This window comes from Homo sapiens, chromosome 20 (assembly GCF_000001405.40).
Source record: "Homo sapiens chromosome 20, GRCh38.p14 Primary Assembly".
NCBI lineage: Eukaryota > Metazoa > Chordata > Mammalia > Primates > Hominidae > Homo > Homo sapiens.
This window is the reverse complement of record NC_000020.11, coordinates 46,721,174-46,744,943: the sequence shown is the minus strand read 5'-3', so window position 1 is coordinate 46,744,943 and position 23,770 is coordinate 46,721,174. Positions and strand designations below refer to the sequence as shown.

Sequence of the window (23,770 nt, the reverse complement as noted above, 5' to 3'; positions counted from 1 at the left end):
ATAATCTTGGAAGACCTAAATTGGGTCAACAAACGTTTTGATTTTAATACAATTTTAATACAAAGCAAAACTAAATAAATTAGAGTTTACTATAATGTGGAAATGGGCAATAATGTTTTGGTGTGCCACCCTTCAAAATGTTAAACAGAATCATTTTTAAGAACTGAATTTTATTTGTTATTTAATTTCATTTAGAATAGGAGACTTTCAACCTAATATAACCTACCTGGGAATGTTTCTCATCTCATGAGAATCAATTAAAAGCAGAATGTCAGCTTTTCCAGTTAAACATTTCATTAGGAGGAAAAACTCCAAAAGCACGTGCCAAAGCATCCACGATAAATCATTTTCTATCCTTGGATGAGACCCAGCATGTGAGGGTCTGGAAATGCTTTCAGAGGGTGTCTGAAAATGTTGTGTCTCACGTCAAAATGCCATCCTCCTCCTCCTCTGCCACAGATGGAAAAAATATTTACACTGGAAAGTAAAATGAACAAATATGGAAACTGAGTCTGGCCCTGGGACAGCGGGAGCTAGGGACAGCCCTGGGTGGGGTAGGAAGCCCTGCTTCTGGGGGAAAGGTGTTGGTGGATCCCCGCCCTGTGGTTGCATTGCCCTTCGCAGCTGGGAAAGAGCTTTCCTACCCAGTATCTCAGTGAATCTGCCCGGCAGCCCTTTGGGGTGGGGGCTGCTGCTGCCCACATCTTACAGTTAAGGAAACTGAGGCTCAGAGAGGTTAAATCCCCTGCCAGAGTTCACAAAACTAGCTAAGTAGCTGCAGCAGAATCAAACCCAGGTCTCCTGACTGCACCTTCTGAACCCTTCCTCTTGGCCAGGCCACCCCCTCTCTACGCGCTCCGTCTGCACCCCCATCCCTCCCTCCTGTAGCTCCTCTCGCAGTTCAGTTTTGTGCCCGAGAACCCCATGATCCTCGATCAGGTCATGACCAAGACCACAAATAAAACCCCTGGTGAACACGAGGGCAGGGCCACACTGCAGGGCACCAGCCGGAGTGACAGCCTGTCTGGCTCGGTAGTGACTAGTGACTCCCCCATCTGGGGGGGTGTGCAAGCGGAGCTGGACACAGGATGCAGTGTGGCCACGGGAAATGTGCAGAGTGATTTCCAGCATCTCTTTCCTCTTCTCTTGCCAACTTGCCTTATGGTGTCCACTTCTTCCCCACTCAGCCATAGGGTCTGGGGTGATTGGCCCCTGTACTGGGTTGAACAGTGTCATAAACTTCATGTCTACCTGGCCCCTGTGAATGTGACTTTATTTGGAAATAAGATTTTGGCAGATGTAATCAAGTCACACTGGATTCGGGTGGGCCCTCCATCCAATGACTTGGGTCTTTATAAGAAGAGGGAAATGTAACACAGAGACACAGAGGAGACACACGGCGGGAGGAAGGCCACATGAGGGTGGAGGCAGAGATTTGGACTGAGGCAGCTGCCAGCCAGGGAATACCAAGAACTGCAGGCAACCACTAGAAACTGGATGAGGCGAGGAAGGATTCTTCCCTGGAGTCTTCAGAGGGAGCTGCTGACACCTTGATTTCAGATTTCTCAGGTCCAGAACAGTGTGAGAATAAACTTCGGTTGTGTTAAGCCACCCAGTGTGTGTTGCTATGTGAATGCAGGCCTAGGAAGCCAACACAAGCCCCACCTCCAGCAGCTCGAGTTAAGCCCGTCTGCATCTCCCAGCGCCCTGCTCCCCATGAGTGGGTCTGGAGAGGCACATTTAACCCACAGAGAGCCAGTGGGATGCTAGAACTATGTGGTGGGGCTTGGGGGAGAAGGAAACCCTCTCTCCTCCTCTATGTGAACCTGGAAGGGCATAGCCAGAGTTGCTGCTGGAAGAAGAGAGATTTTGTGATAGGAAAAGACTGAGAACAGAGGCAAAAGGAAATATCATCATCCTAGTCCTGGATCAAGCTGAGCCTGTCTGAAACCAGGACTAACTATGACGTTTTTAGTCCAGAACAAATGGGTTCCCGGGTAACTTAAGTCTGCTTGGTTTCCGTTTCTGTCGAAAAGTTTTCTAAGTAATGCAGGGAGTCAAGTATTGGATGAGTGTGTGGTCCAAACAGCCTTGATGGTCTTTTTTTTCTTCACCCATGCCTTTTAACCATATAAATTAATGAACCTAGACATGTATTTCGAATGCTTCTGGCATTCCCTACATTCCACTCCTAAAGAGGGCAGATAATTGAGAAGGTGCCATTACAAACACATATTCAGGGCTTTCCAGTTAATCCTAGTTGATCCTGAATCCTAGAAGCGATTGAGATGTAGGAAAAAATAAAAATCACTCCTACGCAGAAAAATCGATTCAGGTGCCCTGACATTTCCCCCTGATGCGGTTTTGGAGGAAATCTCCTGCCCAAGGTAGGAGGCCACAGGTGCTTTCAACAAAGCCTGCCCTGTGACTAACCCCTTCTGAGCGCCAAGATTTGGCTCTTCCAGCTGGATCCTGAAGTGGCCAGTGGAGGGAGGAAGAGAGGACAAGGGGGAGAACTCAGGCTGAGCCTCCAGGGACAGGAGGACACTCAGTTTGCAGCTGACCTCCCATCCTCTGTCCTAGCACCTCTCTGGCCAGCAAGGGGCTCATCCAGGCTGATTTAATGTTAAGGACTTCTTTTAAGAAAAAACAAACTACACATATAAAATTAAGTATGGACATGAATATTTATTTAAAGTGATAAAAGGAATCATGGTAAGTTGGAAATGTTAAAAAGGTGGCAAATGCCACAAGCACCTGAAAATCAAAATAAGTGATAAATCATCCTCATCCTCATCATCACCATCATCACCATCATCACCATCATCATCACCGGCCTGACCCACCTCTATTACACCTGTTTTACTCCATTTTTGGCTGCAGATTCTCTCATAACAGTTTCATAAGATTCTTTTCTACAGTGACAATAAAAAGGTAATTTAATCTTTTCTTTAGGCATGTTCACTTGATTGATTGATTGATTGATTTGTGATGGAGTCTCGCTCTGTCGTCCAGGCTGCAGTGCAGTGGCATGATCTTGGCTCACTCCAATCTCCACCTCCTGGGTGCAAGTGATTCTCCTGCCTCAGCCTCCTGAGTAGCTGGGATTACAGGTGTGTGCCACTATACCCGGCTAATTTTTATATTTTTAATAGAGACAGGTTTTCATCATGTTGGCCAGGCTAGTCTCGAACTCCTGACCTCAAGTGATCTGCCTGCCTCGGCTCCCAAAGTGCTGGGATTACAGGCGTGAGCCTGATGAAAACCCGTCTCTACTCATTCTTCCCCCTCCCTGCTACCAAATGCCAGGACTCCTAACCCAACCAGAAGCTGAGCATGGGGCAGCCCATTGATGGAGCCCAAACAAGTCAACCTGCTGACACAGAGCAGGTAGAGGTTGAATTTGTTGGAGCAAATAAATGAGAATTACTGGCTCAAATCCTCATTCCCAATCAAACTATTTTTGGAAAGGAGGATTGGATGGAGAAAAAGGATGGAAAGGAGAGGTGGAAGAATTTTAATTTGAATTCTAGTACACAGACAATCAAAATAATTAGAAGGCAAAATAAGTATCATGGAGGAAATTAACAAGGGACTTGGAATGGTCCAACGGAAAGTGAGGTTGGTGATTCAGGAGACAGAGAAGCTCACCAAGGTGTAATGTGAGGATGGTATCTCCCCAGCAGTCCAGGTAAGAGGATGGTCCCACGGTAGAAGGATGCAGGATAGAGCAGAGAAAATGGACAGGTCTGTAATTTTGATAGTGGCCCCCTGTATTGGTCAGGCTGTTTGGTTGCAAGTAACAGACACATAAAATAGCAGTGGCTTAAACGAGATAGAAGGTATTTCTCTTTCACGTAATAGTCCCGGCTAATGTGGCAGCCCTGCTCTGTGATGTCAGCAGGGATCCAGGCTTCTTATAGCTTGATGCCCTGCCATCCCTAGGATGTTGTCCTTGTCTGCATGACCCCAGATGATTTCCTAACACACCTCTATTTCAGTCAACAAGAACAGAAGATGGAAAAAGGAAAGGACACTTCCATTCCATCTGAGGCTATGCATTAGTAAAGTCTCAGGCTAAGGCGCTGTAACAAAAGGGACCCTAACATAAGTTGGCTGGAATAAGGTAGTTGATTCCTCTTTCATATAACAGTCCAGTAGAAGGTGTTGAAACAGGGCCACTAGATACATTAGTTCATGAAGGTATCCATGGATCCAGCCACCTTCCATCTTGTTCCACCGTCCCCTTGTCTTTGTCTTCATGGTGAAAGCTGACCACCATATACCCACCCTGGCCTGCAGAAAGGGGAAAATGCATGTTGATTTCATGCAAACATCTTCCCTTTAAGGAAATGACCCAGAAGATGCCACATTGCTACTGCTCACATCCCATTGGCCAGAACTTAGTCACATGGCCCTCTTGCTGCAAGGGACGCTGGGAAAAGTCATCTTTAGCTAGATGGCCATGTATCCAGCTAAAACAAAGGGATTTCTATTATTAAAAAGAAACAAGGGAGAATAAATTTCCAAGGACAGCTAGTCTTCTCTGCCATAGGGCTTGCCTGGAGCACATCACTTGTGTTCCCTCACATCAGACTGAACTTGGTCACATGGCCCCACCTGGCTGCAAAGGAGCCTGGGAAATGCGGTGTTTGGTCTGGGCAGCCATGTTCCCAGCGAAACATCAGAGGCTCTGTTACTATGCCTAAAAGAGATGAAGATATCAGGGAACATACCTCTCCTGAGAACTTCTGTTCATTCAATGAAGTATGAGGCAGGGTTAGCAGCTGAGAGTGAGGGAGATGAAAGAGACAGGACAGTTTCAGTCAAGGAGACCATATCAAATCGCTGAATTGTGGAGCAGGAATGTGTGCCATGAGAGGGTTTGGAGGGTGAGTCTGAGGTTTGAGCTCATGGACTTTAAGTGAAACCTGTTTGTCAGGTTGTGTGACTTCTCTCCTGCAACATTCACAGCCCACGTGCAAGCAGAGAAGATGGGTGTGTAAATTGATCTGAGATTAGCATTACCAAGTGCACAAGGGGGTGTTTGCAAAGGATGGATTATAAGGTTGGGCTATGGGATCTTGGATGGACAAGAAGGAAAGTGAAGGCAGGAAGAGGTTCATAGATTCTGGGAAAGGGGTGAGGTCAGGGGTTAGCATTTAGAGGTCAGAGGTCTTCATGAGATCAGAGAATTGTGGTTATGAGACAGTATTAAGGTATTAGCAGAAATGTAAGGATGCGGTGACCAGGAAATAGGATGTTTGAAATACAGCCTTGAAAGAGTGGTGTTTGAGGCTGAGCTCATCAGGGTGTATGAAGTAAAATGAAACATAGGCTTCTAGGATTTCACAGTCCAGGAACTGGGAGAGGCCAGACCGGTGAAGGGTAACCCATGAGGATGTTATTTACTTCTTCCTGGAAGGACATTGGCTGCAGGGACTTCACTCTACTCTAAACTAGTTCCATGCTGAAGGTCAATGCTTCTTTCTAGGAGGGTCTGACATGAGAAAGTAACAAGAGGTCAACTTTCTCTCGGTGCTTGTGACTTCCTTGGTATTCTCACCTTAAAGCTGTATTTACCAGAGTCAGAAGCATAATACCAGTAGCACTGGAAATGATTTTAGGTGGTTCACAAACACCATATAAATATGATGAATTGCATTGTTGTTCTTTCAATCCAGACAAAGAGAAAGTCTTCAGTTGTTGCTACTATGTCCTGAACACCTCTCTCACACCCGCTAAGCTCCCCTTTTCATTACAGAGCAGACCTTAGGTTCAGAATCTTCAGTAGATAACAATGGCTGGTGAGGGTTTACTGAATCTGTTGCTTTCATAGTATTTTATTGTTTTCTTCCTATTTCTGCAGTTGATATTCACTTTGTGTGTTCACCAACATCCAATGACTATTTTATAGCATCAAGTCAGATCATGTCAGTCCACTGCTCACACCCCTTCAGGGCTTCCCAACACATCTGGAATAAAATCTGAGGGATTTCCATGGTCTGGAAGACCCTTCATAGTCAGACCCGTGCTAAGCTCAGCCTCCTCTTCTTCCATCATTCTACCCTTTGCTCACACCCCCTTAATGTTCCTCTGATATGCCAAACTTAGTCTCACCTTGGGGCCTCTGCACGTGCTGTGCCGTGCCATCTGCCTGGGATGCTTTCACCCAATCATCCCATGGCTCACTCTAACCCTTCATGCAGGTCTCTGCTCAGATGCCAGCACCTCAAAGAGGCTCTTCCTGACTGCCCTAGCGACTCTAGCTAACATGGCATGAAAGCATCTGCATCTGAACCTCACCCAATTTCTCTTTAGCTTTGTAACTTTTGTTAGCACTCACACTAATTAACTTCTCTCTACCTACTTGCTTTTCCCTCCTTCTCTCCTTCCTTCCTTGTTTCATTCATTTTTTCTTTTCTTCCTTCCTTTTTCCTTTCCTCCCTCCCTTCCTCCCCATCTCTTGTTTAGAATTTATCTCCTTTACTAGAGCTCCATGAGGACAGGGACCTTGTCGTGTTCACTGCTGTGACCCCAGGGTCTAGAACAGTGACTGGCATATATAAGACACTCAATAAATATGCATTTGAAGGAAAAATAGGTTAACATAGTTTCCTTTTAAAATACATTTATTTAAGTGGAATAGCAAATAAATGTGAAGAAAAGCATTCAGCAAGAAGTCTGTGTAGTACAATCTGGCAAATAACCAAAGGTGCTAAGTGATGGGCATATTTTATTAAAGGACTGTGCACAAGACTGAGGTTTGGGAACTGCTTCCCTGAAGCGATTCTGGAGTTACTTGCGGGAAGGAGAAGAATTTCCCAGTGCTCTCCCTGCAGACCAATGAACAGACTGTCTCTCTCCTCTGGTTGGTGCTAAAGATCTTTGAGCATTGGCCAGGTGTGGTGGCTCATGCCAGTAATCCCAGCACTTTCGGAGGCCGAAGTGGGAGAACTGCTTGAGCCCAGGAATTCGAGACCAGCCTGAGAAACATGGGGAGACTCCATTTCTACAAAAAATTTAAAAATTAGCCAGGCTTTGTGGTGCATGCCTGTAGTCCCAGCTACTTGGGAGGATGAGGTGAGAGGTTCGCTTGAGCTCCAGAGTTTCAGGTTGCTGTGAGCCAAGATCACACCACTGTACTCCAACCTGGGCAACAGAGCAAGCCCTGTCAAAAACAAACAAACAAACAAAAAACCCTCCTAACTGAGCACCTAGTTGGTGTCCCCCAAATTTTTAGCTTTCTTTAATGCCCCCTTCTCCCCTTCCAGACTACCACCTGGTCTTTGGCCTCATTATCCTTACCTAAAGCCAGATGGCCCTGGAGGCTGTTGGGACAGTTAGCCATTTAGGAGCACCCACTATGAACCCTGCACTAAGTGACTGACATGTGTCATTTCTGAAGAGTTAAGTAGTGTCATCCCCATAATAGAGATGAACAACTCCCCAAGTCACGCACCTAATTGTGCCAGTATAAGATGCTTGAGGTGTGGACTATTTTCATTCCCTCCAGGTGTCTTATACTTCAGGTTCAGTAATAGCCCCTTCACTCACCCAATTCAAGTGCTTGGGTATTCAGTTTGCTTGGCATTTTATTTTTCAAAAACTGTGATTCTTTTTTTTTTTGAGACAGAGTCTCGCTCTGTCACTCTGGCTGGAGTGCGGTGGCACAATCTCGGGTCACTGTGACCTCTGCCTCCTGGGTTCAAGCAATTCTCTGCCTCAGCCTCCCAAGTGGCCGGGACTACAGGTGAGTGTCATCATACCCAGCTAATCTTTTTATTTTTAGTAGAGACAGGACTTCACCATGTTGACCAGGCTTGTTTCGAACTCCTGGCCTAAAGTGATCCACCTGCCTCGGCCTCCCAAAGCACTGGGATTATAGGTGTAGGCTACCAAGCCCGGCCCAAAAGCCATGATTCTTTAAGGAGATTAAGCCAAGTGCCTCAAATATGCAGAAGAAAGGAATGTCTCAGAGGGAAAAACATAGAGATTAGAGGCACAGACTGAGGTCTGTGATCTAGCCACGGAGTATTTTGTTTAACTTCCAAGCTATTTTTAAGTTTGGAATCAACTGCCAAAACTTAAAAATCAATAAAATTTGCACCAAAGTGTGAATTTCTGGAATTTGTTGAAAACACAGACGGCCATGCCACATTGGGCCCACATTCCTACATGGCAGCCACCAGTTGGAATTGAGGGTCACATGGCAGCCACCAGTTGGAATTGAGGGTCAGTCACCCTTATAGACAGACCCTGTGTTTCCCCATTTCCACAGACCCCACTACTCCCTAATGTCTTAAATGGCTTCACTCATTTATATTCCCTACCTGAACCCCAAGTTTATAACCTGGAGCAAGAAAGTGGAGAATTCACCCTAGGACTAGGAGAGCATTCTTCCAGGCTGATAGGAGAGGAAAGGAGAATTGAGTGAGGTTTATGGGTCCCTGGAGAGAGAAGAGATCTGAAGGGGCCACAAGCACAGCTCTAAGCAGTAGTGTGCTGGTAAATGTTTAACAACAGCTCTCCAGGGAAGAAAAGTGTGTGTGTGTGTAAATTTTACTATGATAAAAGATATGTTTGTTGCACACAATTTACAAATAATAACAAACTCTTTATTGTAAATACTCTTTATTGTAAATATTCTATCCTAAATTCCATATAGCCAATTAATTCTTACAGAATCTTTTGTTAATTTTTGTGTGTATAAATTTTACAGAGATAAAGGGTATGTTTGTTGCACACAACTTACAAATAATAATAAACTCTTTATTGTAAATATTCTTTATTGTAAATATTCTTTATCCTAAATTCCATATAGACAATTGATTCTTACAGAATATTTTGTTAATATTTTTTTTTTTGCCAAACCTTGTATCCAAAGTCAACTATCACTGCGATTTGGCCATGATTTGACAAAATTAGACTACAAATAAAAATCCCTGATAACTGTACAGCTAGGCACTGAAGAATGGGTATAGGTTCGGCATGAATGCTGGTTGAAATTTTTGTTTACACTAGTGAGGAAGACAAAAGTAAAACAATGAAAATGAATGTCAGAACTCCTTCTTAAATGATTTGAGCAGCTGTCAGCTGAAACGGATGACAGTGTTCAACTACTGGAAGAATAATCCCTCCATTTTTTGGTGCTATACACCATGTATTGGCTACAAACAAGACATACTTTAAAGTTTAATTTGCATTACTGACATTTTATCCAGCATGTTCTGAAGTCTAGAAAATCAACAAACAATAAATCAAGCCCTGATGTGTAGTCCTCTCTAATCTTTGTGATACAAAAACACTCCCCACAGCCAGTTAAGCAACCAAAGACTAACATGATGTCATTGAGTGGGGAATCAGGAAGAGATGCGCGGTGTCTCCCCTAGGTCTCCATAAGAGTTACTATGTAGAAATAGCCTCAAAAGCACAGATAATAGTAACAGGTAGTAAAATTAAGTAATGAATTTTGAGTATAATTTTTTTGTTTTAATGTAATTTACTTAATTATAAATTTAAATCATTTAATTTTTTATAATGGCTGTGTTTACCAACTTGTAAAAATCCTGAAAATGTAGCAACCAGCTCTCACAAGCTTGGCAAAGCCAGCTCCAGCACATCACTGGATACAAGGGAAGCATCTAGAATGGAGAAGATAGGAGAACTCGAGAGGCCAGAGTCCTTGGGGGCTCTGCCAGCACCCATATGTGCACGCATGGATGACAAAGCATCCAGCACCTAGGATCTATTTTAGCTCTTCATTCTCCCCAGCATCTGGGAGCTTCTTGTCAGTCCCTTCCTTACATGATCTGCAGTCATAGCTACTTGCTCAGTCCCCCATCTGATTCACCCTGACCCTTTACAGGGTCCAAAGGAGGGACCTGGGTAATGAGGATAAGTAGAAATTTCCCAGGCCCTGGACCAGCTGGGGACCCTCCTGAAAGGAAACAGGGTCTAAATATACCCCTGGGACATAATTATCCCCATTCTGCAGATGAGGAAACTGAGGTTCAGGGAGTTGTTATTTACTCAAGTTCAAGGGCTGCCAAGAGGCAAAGGCAATATTGACAAGCAGGTTTGTTGGCCTCCAAACCCATCTCCTTTCCGCAAAGCCATCCTGCACCATCCTGGAGACAGCTCCTAGACCAGCATTTAGAATTCCAGCTCACTGGAGTCAGGAGAAATCTTAAGAATGACCTGGTACAGGCTTCCCATTATACAAATGGGGAAACTGAGGCCCGTGGTCATTCCTACAGCAATGACACCAGCAGACCAAGGACTAGAACTGAGGCCTCCCGTCAAAGAGTCAGAGTTGCTGGTGAAGGATAAATATTCTGGGTAAGAGAATTAGAGGGGTCAATAAAACTCAGATAAAAGAGTCAAAAGGCCTGTAATCCTAGCACTCTGGGAGGCTGAGGTGGGTGGATCACTTGAGCTCAGGAGTTCACGACCAGCCTGGCCAACACAGTGAAACCCCATCTCTGCTAAAAATAAATTAGCTGGGTATGGTTGCATGCGCCTGTAGTCCCAGCTGCTTAGGAGGCTGAGGCACAAGAATCGCTTGAACTCAGGAGGTGGAGGTTGCAGTGAGCCAAGATCAGGCCAGCCTGGGCAACAGAATGAGACTCCACCTCAAAAAAAAAAAATGATAAGAGTAAAAAAAGAGACTTCCCCCTTCCGAAAATGTCCCAGCCAGTTGAAAAAAGAGATTAGAAAAGATGATATCCTCATTTGGATTTAGGGGTGATATCGGGAGAGACTTCCTGCCAGGATTGGTACCCTTGAGATTCTTTGAGAAAAGTCCATGGTGCAACAAAGACTTCATAGAATATTCTTCTTATAAATACTGCAGAGATGTGCAAGTCAATGGGGAAACTGAGGCATGAAGCTAGATCCTCAGGAACCTTCAGGGCCTGAGACTCAAAATGAAGAGTTGGGCATTCTCAGACTTTCATCCTTTTTACCCCAGCAAAAGCAGACCACCTTTGGGGGCAGGGGCCACTCCCAAAAGACCAGCTGGAACTTGTGCTCTGGGGCCTAGGAAGCAGGATGCTGGAGATGGTCTGCCAAAGCCACAGTTCCAGAATTTCCAGGCAGACGGATTCCTCAGGAGGCCGCAGAGATCTCGATGCGGCTGTACGGGATGCCAGTGGAGTTCTGCCTGTGGCCAAAGCTCAGGGTGAACCTGTCAGACAAAGAATGCGTGGGATCAGGGGGTGGCAGGGCCTGGGGCCGTCCCTGGGGAGTGGACCTTCCACTGGGGTTCCCACCACCCAATCCCACCTTCACTCCTACCATGACCCTTCCTGCCTCCTGCCTTATTACAAATGTCCACCTTCTCTCACCTGGACCCCCTAGCAGCTCCTCCCTGGTCTCCCTGGGTCTTCCCTGGCCTCCTATAGCCCCTTGTCACCATTGCATCTACAATGACCTTCCTAAACGCAAAAATCTGTCACTCTCCACTGATATGGTTTGGATCTGTGTCCCCACCAAAATCTCATGTTCAATTGTAATTCCGTGTTGGAGGTGGGGCCTGATGGGAGGTGATTGGATCATGGGGGCAGCTTCTCATGAATGGTTTAACACCATCCCTTTTGGTAGTGTCCTTGAGATGGTGAGTTCGTTCTCATGAAATCTGGTGATTTAAAAGTGTGCAGCACCACCCCCTGCTCCCGCCATGGAAGATGTGCTGGCTGCCCTTCGCCTTCCGCCATGATCGTAAGTTTCCTGAGGCCTCCCTGGAAGCTAAGCAGACAACAGCATCATTCTTCCTGTACAGAGTGCAGAACTGTGAGCCAATTAAACCTCTTTTCTTTATAAATTACCCAGTATTTCTTCATAGCAATGTGAGAATGGACTAATACATCTGCTCAGAAGGAGACCATCATCATGCTCAGCCTAACATCCCATCTTCTCACCATGGCTGCCCTCCCCCACACCAACCCCTCCAGTCCCATTTGCTCATCACGCCTTGGCCACATAGGCCTCCTGTCTCTCCCTTCAAAACTCCTAACTTGTTTCCACCTCCGGGCCTTTGCTCTTGCTGTTCCCTCCACCTAGAACATTTCTTCCAGCTCTTGAAACTGTTTCTTCTGCTTGAACATTTCTTCCAGCTCTAGAAACCATTGACTTTTTCTTGTAATTCCAGTCTCAGCTCAGAGCAGCCTTCCTTGAGCATCATTCATTCAGCCAGAGATATGATTAAAGATGACAGTGCCAGGCACTGTTCTAGGCCCTGGAAACAGGGCAGTGAGTGAAACCGATACACAAAAATATCACCGTGCTTGTTGAAAATTCCTGATACACTTGTAACACAAATGCACCCATAGCTGTTTGCACCCTAGCTAAAGAAACTATCCATTTCCCAAATCTGCTGTTCACCCCCTGGTAGGTTAACCTGCCTTATTTTCTTCATGATATAAAAACTCTGAATTATCTTATTTGTGCATTTTTGAGTTTTGTAGTCTATCTCTCTCCTATACATTAAAATGTAACTTCCTTCTAAGTCCAGAGACAGGGTCTCTCCCGGTCATGGGTCTGTCCCCAGAGCCTACTACAGTGCCCGGCACTTGAAAATATTTGCTGAAAGTTGAATGAATCGATTCCTGAGAAACTGGGATAAAACAGGAATTTTTGAATTTTTTTTGTTATATCCCCTGAGGGATTGGTAAAGGTCTCTTTTGAGCAGAAATAACCTGATAAGAAGGCAAAATAAACAACATTTCGGCAACCAATTGCCATTGATTGATGTAAGACGATTTGAGCCCCTTGTATTACTAATGTGTCCTTAAAGCAGGTAGAGGAGCTGGATCCATAAGATGTAGGTCCCCATTTCCAACAAGCACATCTGAGGCACAGGGATGCAGAATAAGTCAGCCCTACAGCAGTGGGTGACGGCTCTACCGGCATCTGCCTCCCATTTTTGGGGAACGTGGCATGTGGCTTGACTGGACTGTCAATCAAGGATCTCTGCCCTATCCTGGCTAAGTTAGGGGTTAGGAGGTGGGCACATAAACCAGCCTTGGCCAATCAGACTTTCTCCTGGGACCATGGCTCTTGTATGGAGGACACAGGAGTGAAAATAGTTGCTGCTGAAAAGACTATCCCATTAGTTCCTGCTGTCAAAATCCCTGGACATGCCCTGGTCCCTGTGTTCCTAAAGTCGAGTTTCTCTCTCTCTCTGTGGCCTCTGATATCAAGAGCCCCCTGAACTCTAGGGACAGAGATGATAAAACACAGACCTGCCTCTGGACTCCACAAAAACCCCTAACTTCCTGTCTTCTCCAGAGTCATAGCAGACCCAGCCTCCAGTCCCCAAGGGCTGGCCTTGGCTCCCCCCATGTAACCCCAGGTCCAGGCTGACACCCCGCAGCTGCAGTCACATCCTGCCTTACCCCAAAGCTGGCTCCCACCAGCGTTTCTGCCTCCGTTGCTTTTTATCCCAGAGGATGGATTTGGAATCTTCTCCCAAGAAAACCAGTGTGGCAGAGATGCCAGGCAGCTGTCTAGTAACAGAACCCTCGATTTTTAGCTGGGCACATGGCTGCCCAGATTGAAGACCACATTTCTTGGCCTCCCCTGCATATAGGTGTAGCCAAGTTCTATGGAAAGTCATGTGGGTGGAAGTGACCTTGAGGACTGTGCCCACCCCTTCCCCTCCCCCATCCTCTGGCAGGTATGTGGGGGTGCACCTCCTTAGGCCATGCAGGAAAGGTGATATGGAAGAGGTGGCAGAGCAACAAGACAGAAGGAGCCTGGGACCCTACATGAGCTCATGGCATGCTGCATCCACCCAACCCTGGACCCCCAACCGACATTTGGACGACTTCAAGCAGCCAAATCGATTTCCTAACTAATACAGCTGGGTTGCTGAGGCGCCTGCCGAAACTGCAGAAGGTTCCACTCAACAAAGTAGGAGAGAACATTCTGGGGTGGGGAGGACTGGGTCACAGGTTCTTACATTAGGATCCAGATTGGGGTGGGGCTTAGCAGCCAGTGCAGGGATGCTAGTCAATAATAGAATGATTTTTTAAAACGTTTTATGACTTCCCAGAAACAGAATGGGCAGTCAGGAGCTGGTGACTATCACCTGCTTTTAAGAGGTAACTGGGGATATTTGCCAAGGATGCTTAGGACTGTAGCACTTTGAAGTTCCTTCTGAAGCTCCCATTTCACTCTTCTTTTATTTGAACAGCCTAAGGTCTCATGATGCTAAGATTCTGAACTCCCCTCAATAACCTGAAGACCTGATGTGATCCTACCCATCTGGCCTGTCTGACCCTCCACGCTCTTCCCTTCCTCCCTCTGTTCCAGGCACACTGGCTTCCTTGTTGTTCCTTGCACATGCCAGATACATGCCCACCTCAGGGCCTTTGCACTTGCTGTTCCTTCTGCTTAGAATGCTCCTCCCCTCATCATTACGTGGGTGCCTCCTTCTCACTAACTTAAATTCCACCTCCTCTGAGACGACTTCCCTCCCTCACCACCCACTCTACTTCAGCCACAACCCCTTTCTTCTTTGTTCCTCCTGTGTCAACCTGGCCCTCTCAACATATTTTGCTCTGCTTCATTTTCTCCTAATTACTCATCACCAACTAAAACGCTCTTGTTTATGCATTTGTTGGCTTCCCTCCCCCATCAAATGGAAGCTCTTGAGGACAGGCACTTTGTCTTCCTTAATCTCAGCATGTTTCCTAAGGCTCTGAACACTGTCTGGCACAGAGTAAGGACTTAATAAATAGCCACGGAATGAATGCATGAAGCCCACAAGCGTTTTGCGTGCAATGTTTAAAGGCCATAGTTATGATATTTTGCTACTCCAAGGTCCTGTGACTCTAAGATAGTTTATGGTTTTAAGATTCTACTCTTCTAGCCTCCTGTGATTCCATAATCAAATGATTTTTAAATCCCCATGAGCTGGGTCTTAAAGTCAAATGAAAAGGCACTGTAGGGAGACACAAAACAACTCAAGGAAAACAGTTTGTGTGTGACCGGACAAAACTCATAGTGCCGGCCGGGCGCGGTGGCTCACGCTTGTAATCTCAGCACTTTGGGAGGCCGAGGCGGGCGGATCACGAGGTCAGGAGATCGAGACCACGGTGAAACCCCGTCTCTACTAAAAATACAAAAAATTAGCCGGGCGTGGTGGCGGGCGCCTGTAGTCCCAGCTACTCGGAGAGGCTGAGGCAGGAGAATGGCGTGAACCCGGGAGGCGGAGCTTGCAGTGAGCCGAGATGGCGCCACTGCACTCCAGCCTGGGCAACAGAGCGAGACTCCATCTCAAAAAAAAAAAAAAAAAAAAAAAAAAAAAAAAAACTCATAGTGCCCAGGCAATAAGGAAGACAGGAGGAATGCCCGCTTGCAAAAGGAAAGCACAAAGACTAAAATCCTGAAGCTGTGTGCTTGGGGTGTGCTACAGCTCTTCCCCCAGACCCACCCTGTCAGCTTCCTACCGTCTCTTCTGGAACTGCTGGTCTATCTCTGCCAACGACTGGCCTTTTGTTTCAGGAACAAATAAATAGATGAAGCCCAGGCCGAGGACAGCGGTCAGTCCGTAGAGCAGGAAGGTCCAGGACAAGCCGATGGTGCCTGGAAACAGGAGGGCGGGAGTGTAGGCCCAGGACCAAGCACTCTGGCCCCGCAGCCTGGGCCAACTGGTAGGTTCTAGGTCAGGCATGGAAAGTCAGTTCACTCAAAGCAAATGTTCCCGTTGGTCAATTTGCAGAGTGACCAATAAGCTGTCAGTGAAGTACCTTAAAGCGGAAATCTCGCTGATTGTCTCAAAGGCGGGGATGAGCCAGGACGCAAGTCCACAAGCACAGAGACAAAGGCAACTTGTGTTTATGGGAAAGGCCCCTCACCCACATCTAGAGCACTATCCCGTGGAGCACGCTTGGGCTCCGAAAGCCTGGCCTGAGGGATCGTGGATCCAGCTGAGTGGCCAAACAGCTGCATGGACACGGCCTTGGCAAATCTCAGTTTGAAAAAAAAAAAATCCTTAGAAATTTCATGAATTGGGCTTGGTGCAGTGGTTCATGCCTGTAATCTCAGCACTTTGGGAGGCCAAAGTGGGAGGATCACTTGAGCTCAGGAGTTCAAGACCAGCCTGGGCAACATGGTGAAACCCTGTCTCTACTAAAAATAAAAAATAAAAAAATTAGCTGGGCATGGTGGCACACACCTGTAGCCCCAGCTACTCGGGAGGCTGAGGCTGGAGGATTGTTTGAGCCCCGGAGGTCAAGGCTGCAGTGAGCCGAGATCATGCCACTGCACTCCACCCTGCACTCAGGGCGACAGAGTGAGACCCTGTTTCAAAAAAAAAAAAAAAAAAAAAAAACACACCCAGAAATTCCATGAATCGGTCATTCAGTGAATTGATCATTCAGAGAATTGAGTTTCAGCCAGTTTGACCTGTGACTGGTTTGGGAGAGAGGACAAAAGCCACAGTTCAGTCCCAGAGTCAGCCTCCTCCTAGAGCCTCCGGTGGGTCTCAGAACCAGCAGCCAAGATGGGAATGACCCTGAGTCATTTGATGTCATTCATCCCAAGACAGAGAAGAGGCTGTGGAGGAAGGATCTTTGTCAAGGTGGAAGACAAATTATGTTTTGGAAGCCATTCTCACCTCTGACAGCCACGTCCATACCTCCTTTAGGCAGCCTCCCATGACCAGCTGGACCTATCGCCAGCAGGGAGAGCAATGGGCTGGAAGGCAGTGGGGCTGGTTCTAGTCTTTTGACTCCCTGGCTGGACGGGGTAAGGATGTATTTTCCCATCTGTGAAATGGGGATGATATATGACACAATTCTAATAAATTCCTTCCTTCCTTCCTCCCTCCCTCCCTTCCTTCCTCCCTTCCTTGTTTCTCTCCTTCTTTCTCCTCTCTCACTCATTTACTCCACACAAAGGGAAATGCTTGAAGACTGAGGCTGCAGGGAGAAGCTTGGATTCCCTAAGACTGGGGTTGGAAGACAGCCATGATAGGGGGGGTTCTTCCACTGGGGTTTCCCACAGCACTGCCCCCCAGCCTCCCAAGTTGGCTGCACCTTTGGGAAGGAAACTCTTGGCCATAGGGAATAGGAAAATAACTGAACCCTAAGAACTGTGCCTTGGGGACCACAGTGAAGGAGCCTGTGTACTCTGGCCCAGATGAGCAATACCCACTGAAGACCAGGGCCTGGAGCCATGAGCATCTCAGCATCTCAGAGTCATTCCCTGGTGTTCTGGGCCCACATCATTTCCACCCCATCCCACCACACCTCAGAATGGGTTTCAATGCTAGGGAGGAAGAGATGATGTCACCCAAACTTGATTTGAGAAAAACTTCCAGGCCAGACACGGTGGCTCATGCCCGTAATCCCAGCACTTTGGGATTACAGGTGGATCACTTGAGGTCAGGAGTTCAAGACCAGCCTGGCCAACCTGGTGAAACCCTGTCTTTACAAAAAATACAAAAATTAGCCGGGCGTGGTGGCGGGTGCCTGTAGTCCCAGCTACTCGGGAGACTGAGGCAGGAGAATAGTTTGAACCCGGGAGGTGGAGGTTGCAGTGAGCTGAGATTGTGCCACTGCACTCCAGCCTGGGTGACAGAGCAAGATTCCATCTCAAAAAAAATTAAAAATTAAAAAGAAAAGAAAAGCCAAGAAAAACTTCCACCTGGCAGGTGTCATGAACCAGTTTAAGCCAGTTTGGAGCAAATAAACATTGCTACTCTTACTCCTGCCGGTTGACCTCAGATGACCTCTCACCAGTACTGGGTGTAGACCATCACCCATTAGCTGGCCTGGGGAGTTTTACAGTGCATATGAGGGTCCTGGATGTCGTCTTGGACATTTGATGATGTTTCTGCACAGAATAATAGTTCTGCAGCTAATACATAGGAAAATCCAAAAATTTCTGCTTTAGAGTAGGGAGCTTGGGCCACAGAAAAAAAACGGACTTGTCTGGGAAGGACTCACCAATGAGATCGAGGAAGGAGAGGCTGATGAAGAGGTTGGCCGCCCAGTTGAAGCTGTTGCAGAAGGCGAAGGCTCTTCCTCGTATCTCCACAGGGTAGATCTCGCTGAGGACAAGCCAGGTCACTAGGGTGGGAGAGCAGGAGGGCTCCTGGGCTGTGGTGGGACCTGGGGCCTGGCACCATCAGGTCAAACATGCAGCCTCTCAACAATGGGATTTTCTAGTGTCAGGCTCCTGATACTAAACTCCCACTCCCATTCTGCTATAAGAATTACAGTAGAGTCTCAGTTTGCTGAAGACTGAGAGGTTTTCTGAGACATGAGACTTTCAATGCCGAGATGGGAACAGTCTTGGACGAACTGGGATGATTGGTTTTCACGCTATTCATTAAATTCCTTCCAGTTGTGAGCTATCCGGGCTTTAAGGGACCTGAAGCTCAAATGACTTGGGGAGGCTTTTAAGGAATACAAATTACAAACATAAAATTAGGCACTGGCCCTGGGAGGAGCAACTGCAGGTAAGTGAGGGGCCCTGAGGCTTCATGGTCAACCCACCTCTAGTGCCCCACTGACACCCTGCCAGGTCATCAGGGTGGGAAGTCCCCAAACTTCCCCCTAGGAGGGGTAGAAGTCTCCAGAGTCACCTGCAAGAAAACTCCACTTACCTGGCCCAAACCCAAAGGAGAAGGCACTGACAAAGACCATCAGGCACAGCAGTGCGGTCCAGCGCAGCAGTGCATGCCCCCGAGCGGGCAGAGGGGGCCCAGGGAGGGCAGAGCTCAGGGCCAGCCGAGGAGGGGCTGAGGGGTCTCCAGATCTGGGATGGGGCTTGGTTTTCTTAGCAGTGGACAAGATTGGCTCCCTTTGGTCCTCATTGGTCCTTGGAATGGGAGGTAGAGAGGAGTCCTGCAGCAGGCCAGAGTCTCCAGGGAGGCCTGTCTGCCCGGTGGCATTGGGCACAGCCAGACAGCTTGGGCCTGAGTCCATGGGCACGGCAAAGCTGACGAGGCCTATGCCACTGACGGACAGGGCCATGAGGGCACAGCCAGCTAGCAACAGAGCCCTGCGGCCTGCACGGTCCACCAGCCCCATGGCGGTCAGGGTAGCTGCCACCTTCACTGCGCCAAGCCCCACAGAGGCCAGCACGGCTGAGGATCCCCCATGGAAACCAACGGAGCTGAAGATGGTGGAGGCATAGCACAGCACGTTGGGCTGCCCTGTTAGTTGCTGGAAGAGCACCAGCCCCAGGCCCACTGTGGTCCGGCCTCGCATGTTATCGCGTGCCCTGAAGAGGTCCAGAAAGGAGTACCGTGGCCTCCCCGGGCCCAGCTTGGGGGCCTCACCTCCCTGGAGTGGGATGAGGTCCTTGTGTGTTGCAGTCTCATCTGTACCAGCAGGGAGGAAGAGGAGGCTGAGGGATTGCAGGACAGCAGGTGCAGTGGCCCAGCCGAACATGTGCCTCCATCCCCAGGGGGTACCAGCCAGTGCATAGTTGAGGGCATAGGAGAGCAGGATGCCCACGGTGATGCCTGCCTCATAGAGGGACACCAGCACTCCCCGCTGCCGTGGCCCCACCAGCTCTGACACGTAGATACAGCAAGCCATGGAGGAGAGGGAAATGGCGAAGCCAACCACAGCGCGGCCCAGGACCAGCCAGGCCAGGGAACCAGCCAGGCCCAGGGTCAGGCTGCCTGCCAGCAGCACCAAGTTGCTCCCGAGGATGGCTTGCTTCCTGCCATAGCAGTCAATGAGGAAGCCACCAACCAGGGAGGCGAGGAGAGCCCCCAGGAGCAGGCTGCCCACCAGGAACTCCTGCTCCAAGCAGCTTAGCCCAAAGTCAAGCTGCAGTGGCAGCAGGGCACCTGATATGACTGCCAGTTCATAACCAAAGGTCAGGCCACCCAGCAAAGACACAGAGGCACACAAAGGCAGGACAGGTGGGGAGTGGCCTAAAAAACAAAAGTGAGAGGGACAGAGTTAGAATGGTTCCTTGTCATACCATCCATCCATTCAACCTTCCCTCCATCTGTCAACACCTTCATTTATCCATCCATCTACTCCATCTATTCAACCATCCATTCAAACCATCCATCCATCCATCCATCCATCCATCCGTCCATCCATCCACTCCATCAATTCAACCATCCATCCATCCATCCATCCATCCATCCATCCATCCATCCTTCCATCTGTCCATCCATCCACTCCATCAATTCAACCATCCATCCATTCATCCTCCATCCATCTACTCCATCTGTTCAACCACCCATTCAACCATTCACTGATCCATCTATCCATCTATCCATCCACTCCAACCATCCATCCATCCATCCATCCATCCATCCATCCATCCATCCATCCAACCACCATCCATCTACACCATCTGTTCAATCATCCATTTAACTATCCATCCATTCTTCCATCCACTCCATCTATTCAACCACCCATCCATCCATCTATGCATCCTCCATCCATTCATCTACTTCATCCATCCAAATATTCATCCATCTGCATGTCCATTTATCTATACCTTAATTCACCCAACCATCCATCAATTTGTTGATCAGTCTATCTACAAATCCATCCATTCATCCACCCATCTCTGTATTTCATCCCTTTGTATACTCATCCACACATCAGTCCATCCATCCATCCATCTATCCATCCATCTAAATTTATTTATCTGGCATTTACAACATGCCAGGAAGTGCTCTTAGGGCTGGAATACAGATGTGTTGTCCAGGATCTAAAGTTCTAGAAGAAATAGGAAGATGATAAATAAGTATATAATTTCAGATAGTGAAGATGTCATAAAAAATGAAGCAGGGAAGGAGAATTAAGGTTGATGGAGTAGTACTATTTTAAGGCCTCTCTGAAGAGCAAAAATTTGAGCAGAGATTTGAGTGACATGAAAGTCCCAGGAAAATCTGGGAGAAGAACATCCTAGACAGAGTGAACACAAAGTACAGAGGCCCTGAGGTAGGACAGTTCTTGGTGTTTGAACAACTATGGATATTAATGGTTAGTACTTATATGGCCCTTACTAAATGCCAGAATCTGTTTTAAGAGCTTTATATGTATTTTCTCATTTAATTGTTACAGCTACCCTATAACATATCATCCTCCAAAGTGCAGAGAAGTTAAGAAACTTTCTCATGGTCACATAACAAGTAAGTTGTAGAGATGATGTGGCTAAAGTGAGGACCTTTAATCACTGAGGTAATCAGACAGGAGGCCAGAGGCTGAAGCCCAGTGAGTGAGAGTGATGGGAGATGATGAGGCAGGAGAAATAGGCAGGGGCCAGATCATGTGGGGCTTTGCAAGTCAAGAGGACAATGAGGAATGTCATTCTCAGTGGTTGGAAGCCTTTGCTGGCTTCAGCCAGGAATGAGGTGATCTACTTTTATTTTTCATTTTTTATGAGTCCCAACAGGAAACAAATCGGTCATCTATTTTTAATTTTTAAAATATTGCTCTTGCTGTTGTATGGAGATGCTAAATGAGGTGAATGTGGCCCAATCAATGTCCATTCACCCCTTTTTCTTTGGTATCAGGACTACATCCAGCTAAAAGACTACATTTCCCACCTTTCCCACAGCTATTGGTGGCTACTAAGATGGAAGAGGGAGTTTTTTTGGTGGGACATTGAAAAAAGCTCTCCAAGAAGAGGGTGAGGAGGGAAACAGCTGGCTAGATCTTTTTTGCCCTTTTTTCTAGCTCCCTTACCTCTTGCCTGGAATGCAGGTGTGATGACTGGAGCTTCAGCAGCCATCTTGGAACATGATGGGGGGTAACCATGAGGATGCAAGCTACACACCGACATAGTAGGATGGAAATATAGAAGAAGAATGGGTCCCTGATGGCAGTAAGCCTACCATACCAACAATGGATTGTCAATCTCCATATATTTTTATGTGCTAAGAAGAAAATCCCAACAATTTCTGACTTAGTGAAACTATGCTATTTCCAGTTTCTATTCCTAGCAGTGAAACCAAAGAGCAAGAGCAAACCCAGGTTGGAAGGCTAGTACAAGGGTCCAGGTAAGAGTGCTAACGAAAACTAAGAAGAAATGCTATATAGCAGGGAGCTGCCAGTTAAGATCAATGAGGAACACGGGCTGCATGTGAGACAACAAAGAATGGTGGGGATTGCCAAACTGGAGAGTTCATGCCTCATCTAAAGTCACAACACAGCTCCAGGTATTGTTAACACACCGACTGTATAATCTCAGGCAAATTATTAGAAGAGTAACTGCCATTTCATGACTGATCCCTATGTGCCAGGCATAGTGTGAGAAACTTTAAACGCATCATTTCATGTAATCCTCACAACTGTAGGAAAACACCCTGTTGCATGGCCAGAGTGAGGCCATCTTGAAGTGAAACCACCATGATGATGGATATTTGGGCCCCACATACCAAGTTGTTCTACAGTAAGTTCTTTAAAAATGCCTGTAGCATAGATAACCCTTCATAAAGATGCTTATCCAGCCTCTCCAGTGGTCACAAGTCTTGGCAAGAAAGTCTGAAGACATGATCAGCTGCACATGTTTTATGCTAAAAGCTTGATATATTAAGAATACTTTCTGGAGGTCAGGTATGGGAATCCACGGTCTTGTGGCTACCTGAGATATGGCTCCTGTTTTTATGTCCCTGTGAAATTTCTTTCTGCAAGACTGGATTTGTCAGCCTCTTTCTTTGGCCTCTCAGCTCCTCAGCCTTCAGAGGTAGGTTTGCATAGACCTGCTCACCATGGAACAGTAACCTCACGAGTTAGGTATTACTAATATCTCCATGTCACAGATAAGGAAATTGGAAAACAGGAAGGTCAAGAACTGCCAGATCTGGTTTTTTTTTTAAAGAGAAACCATAAATCCAGATTTTTATAAACTATTTTCTGATTTTTAAATGCTGTTCCAAGAATATATAAAAATATTCTTTGAGTCAGACAAAACACATCTCAGAGTGCAACCCATAGGTACCAGTTTTCAACTGCTTCCACATGGAAACAAATCTTCAAGGAATACAAGCCTCTGGGTGTAGTAAACATTTGTTACTTCTTCTGTCTGCCTGGAATCTTTTCCTTTGAGGAAGAGCCCCTTCCCCACTGATGGGGTTACCAGTCACATGTACTCTCCACCCACACATAGGGATGAGCAAGTGGGTCTCAGGGAATTGCTATACATAGACAAGAAAAAAGAACTACATTTTTTGAGAATTTCAAGTTACAGAAACAAAATAGTCATTGGTCATGCTGTGCAGAAGGCCTTTATGAAAATGAAACCAACACAGATGAGAGCAGAGCCAAAAGATAACAAGAAATAGATCCCAATATTATTGCATGAACCCATGGATCTAGCAGTGCCTGAAGCTTACCCAATCCACTGGGCTCTCGTTACATGAGCCAACCAATACTCTTTGTTCTTTTAGTCAGATTGAGTTGGTTTCTGTAAATTATAATTTAAAAGCTCCCAATTAGTACACTGAGCAACAGAATTTCCAGACTCATGGAAAAACCTGCAATGTCTCTCTCTCTCTTTTTTTTTTTTTTTTGCTAATTGAGGGATTTGTAGGGCCCCCAAGTCATTTTTACACATATATAGTAGTGAGGACAGGACAATAATTTAGAGATTTGCAAAACAAGGTTCTTTTCTGTTTTGGTAACTAACTTGCAGTGTGACACCAGGCCAGTCACTTGCCCTTTTTGGGCTGTGGGAGCTGGTCTCTAAAGATGGCTCCCAATGAGTCATGCCTCCTGGTGTTATGCCTTTATGTGGTTCCCTCTCACACTGAATCTGAGTAGCTCTGTGACTAGTT

The 23,770-nt window shown here is 46.8% G+C and overlaps 1 protein-coding gene and 1 long non-coding RNA gene across 11 annotated transcripts in view, besides 2 other annotated features; both read right to left on the bottom strand.

The window, feature by feature from the left end:
* Window positions 1-2,668: 2,668 nt before the first annotated feature.
* Window positions 2,669-4,882, bottom strand: LOC124904918 (uncharacterized). The gene is made up of 2 exons (XR_007067616.1): window positions 4,737-4,882; window positions 2,669-4,296 (listed from the first exon to the last, which is right to left on the bottom strand). It is a non-coding gene; the product is annotated as an uncharacterized LOC124904918 (long non-coding RNA).
* SLC2A10 (solute carrier family 2 member 10) overlaps window positions 8,597-23,770 on the bottom strand; it is a 28,028-nt gene continuing 12,854 nt past the window's right edge. For 3 of the 10 annotated variants that reach the window (XM_011529060.3, XM_011529061.3, NM_030777.4), the window contains exons 2-5: window positions 18,620-19,903; window positions 17,958-18,080; window positions 15,456-15,591; window positions 8,597-11,188 (exon numbers count right to left, since the gene is read on the bottom strand). In XM_011529060.3, the coding sequence (XP_011527362.1) occupies window positions 11,110-11,188; window positions 15,456-15,591; window positions 17,958-18,080; window positions 18,620-19,903 (1,622 nt within the window). In that variant the 3' untranslated portion in view covers window positions 8,597-11,109. Of the gene's footprint in view, window positions 11,189-15,455; window positions 15,592-16,316; window positions 16,776-17,957; window positions 18,130-18,619; window positions 19,904-23,770 lie in introns of those variants that run through there. The other 7 variants (XM_011529062.3, XM_047440529.1, XM_011529065.3 and 4 more) reach the window with 5 other exon arrangements.
* Window positions 18,342-18,842: an enhancer, noted in NCBI's record as "H3K4me1 hESC enhancer chr20:45354741-45355241 (GRCh37/hg19 assembly coordinates)". NCBI's record gives its function as "activates a minimal SCP1, AML or CMV promoter by ChIP-STARR-seq in primed H9 embryonic stem cells {active_cell/tissue: H9 hESC(primed)}" and the evidence as "EXISTENCE:reporter gene assay evidence [ECO:0000049][PMID:30033119]".
* Window positions 18,843-19,343: an enhancer, noted in NCBI's record as "H3K4me1 hESC enhancer chr20:45354240-45354740 (GRCh37/hg19 assembly coordinates)". NCBI's record gives its function as "activates a minimal SCP1, AML or CMV promoter by ChIP-STARR-seq in primed H9 embryonic stem cells {active_cell/tissue: H9 hESC(primed)}" and the evidence as "EXISTENCE:reporter gene assay evidence [ECO:0000049][PMID:30033119]".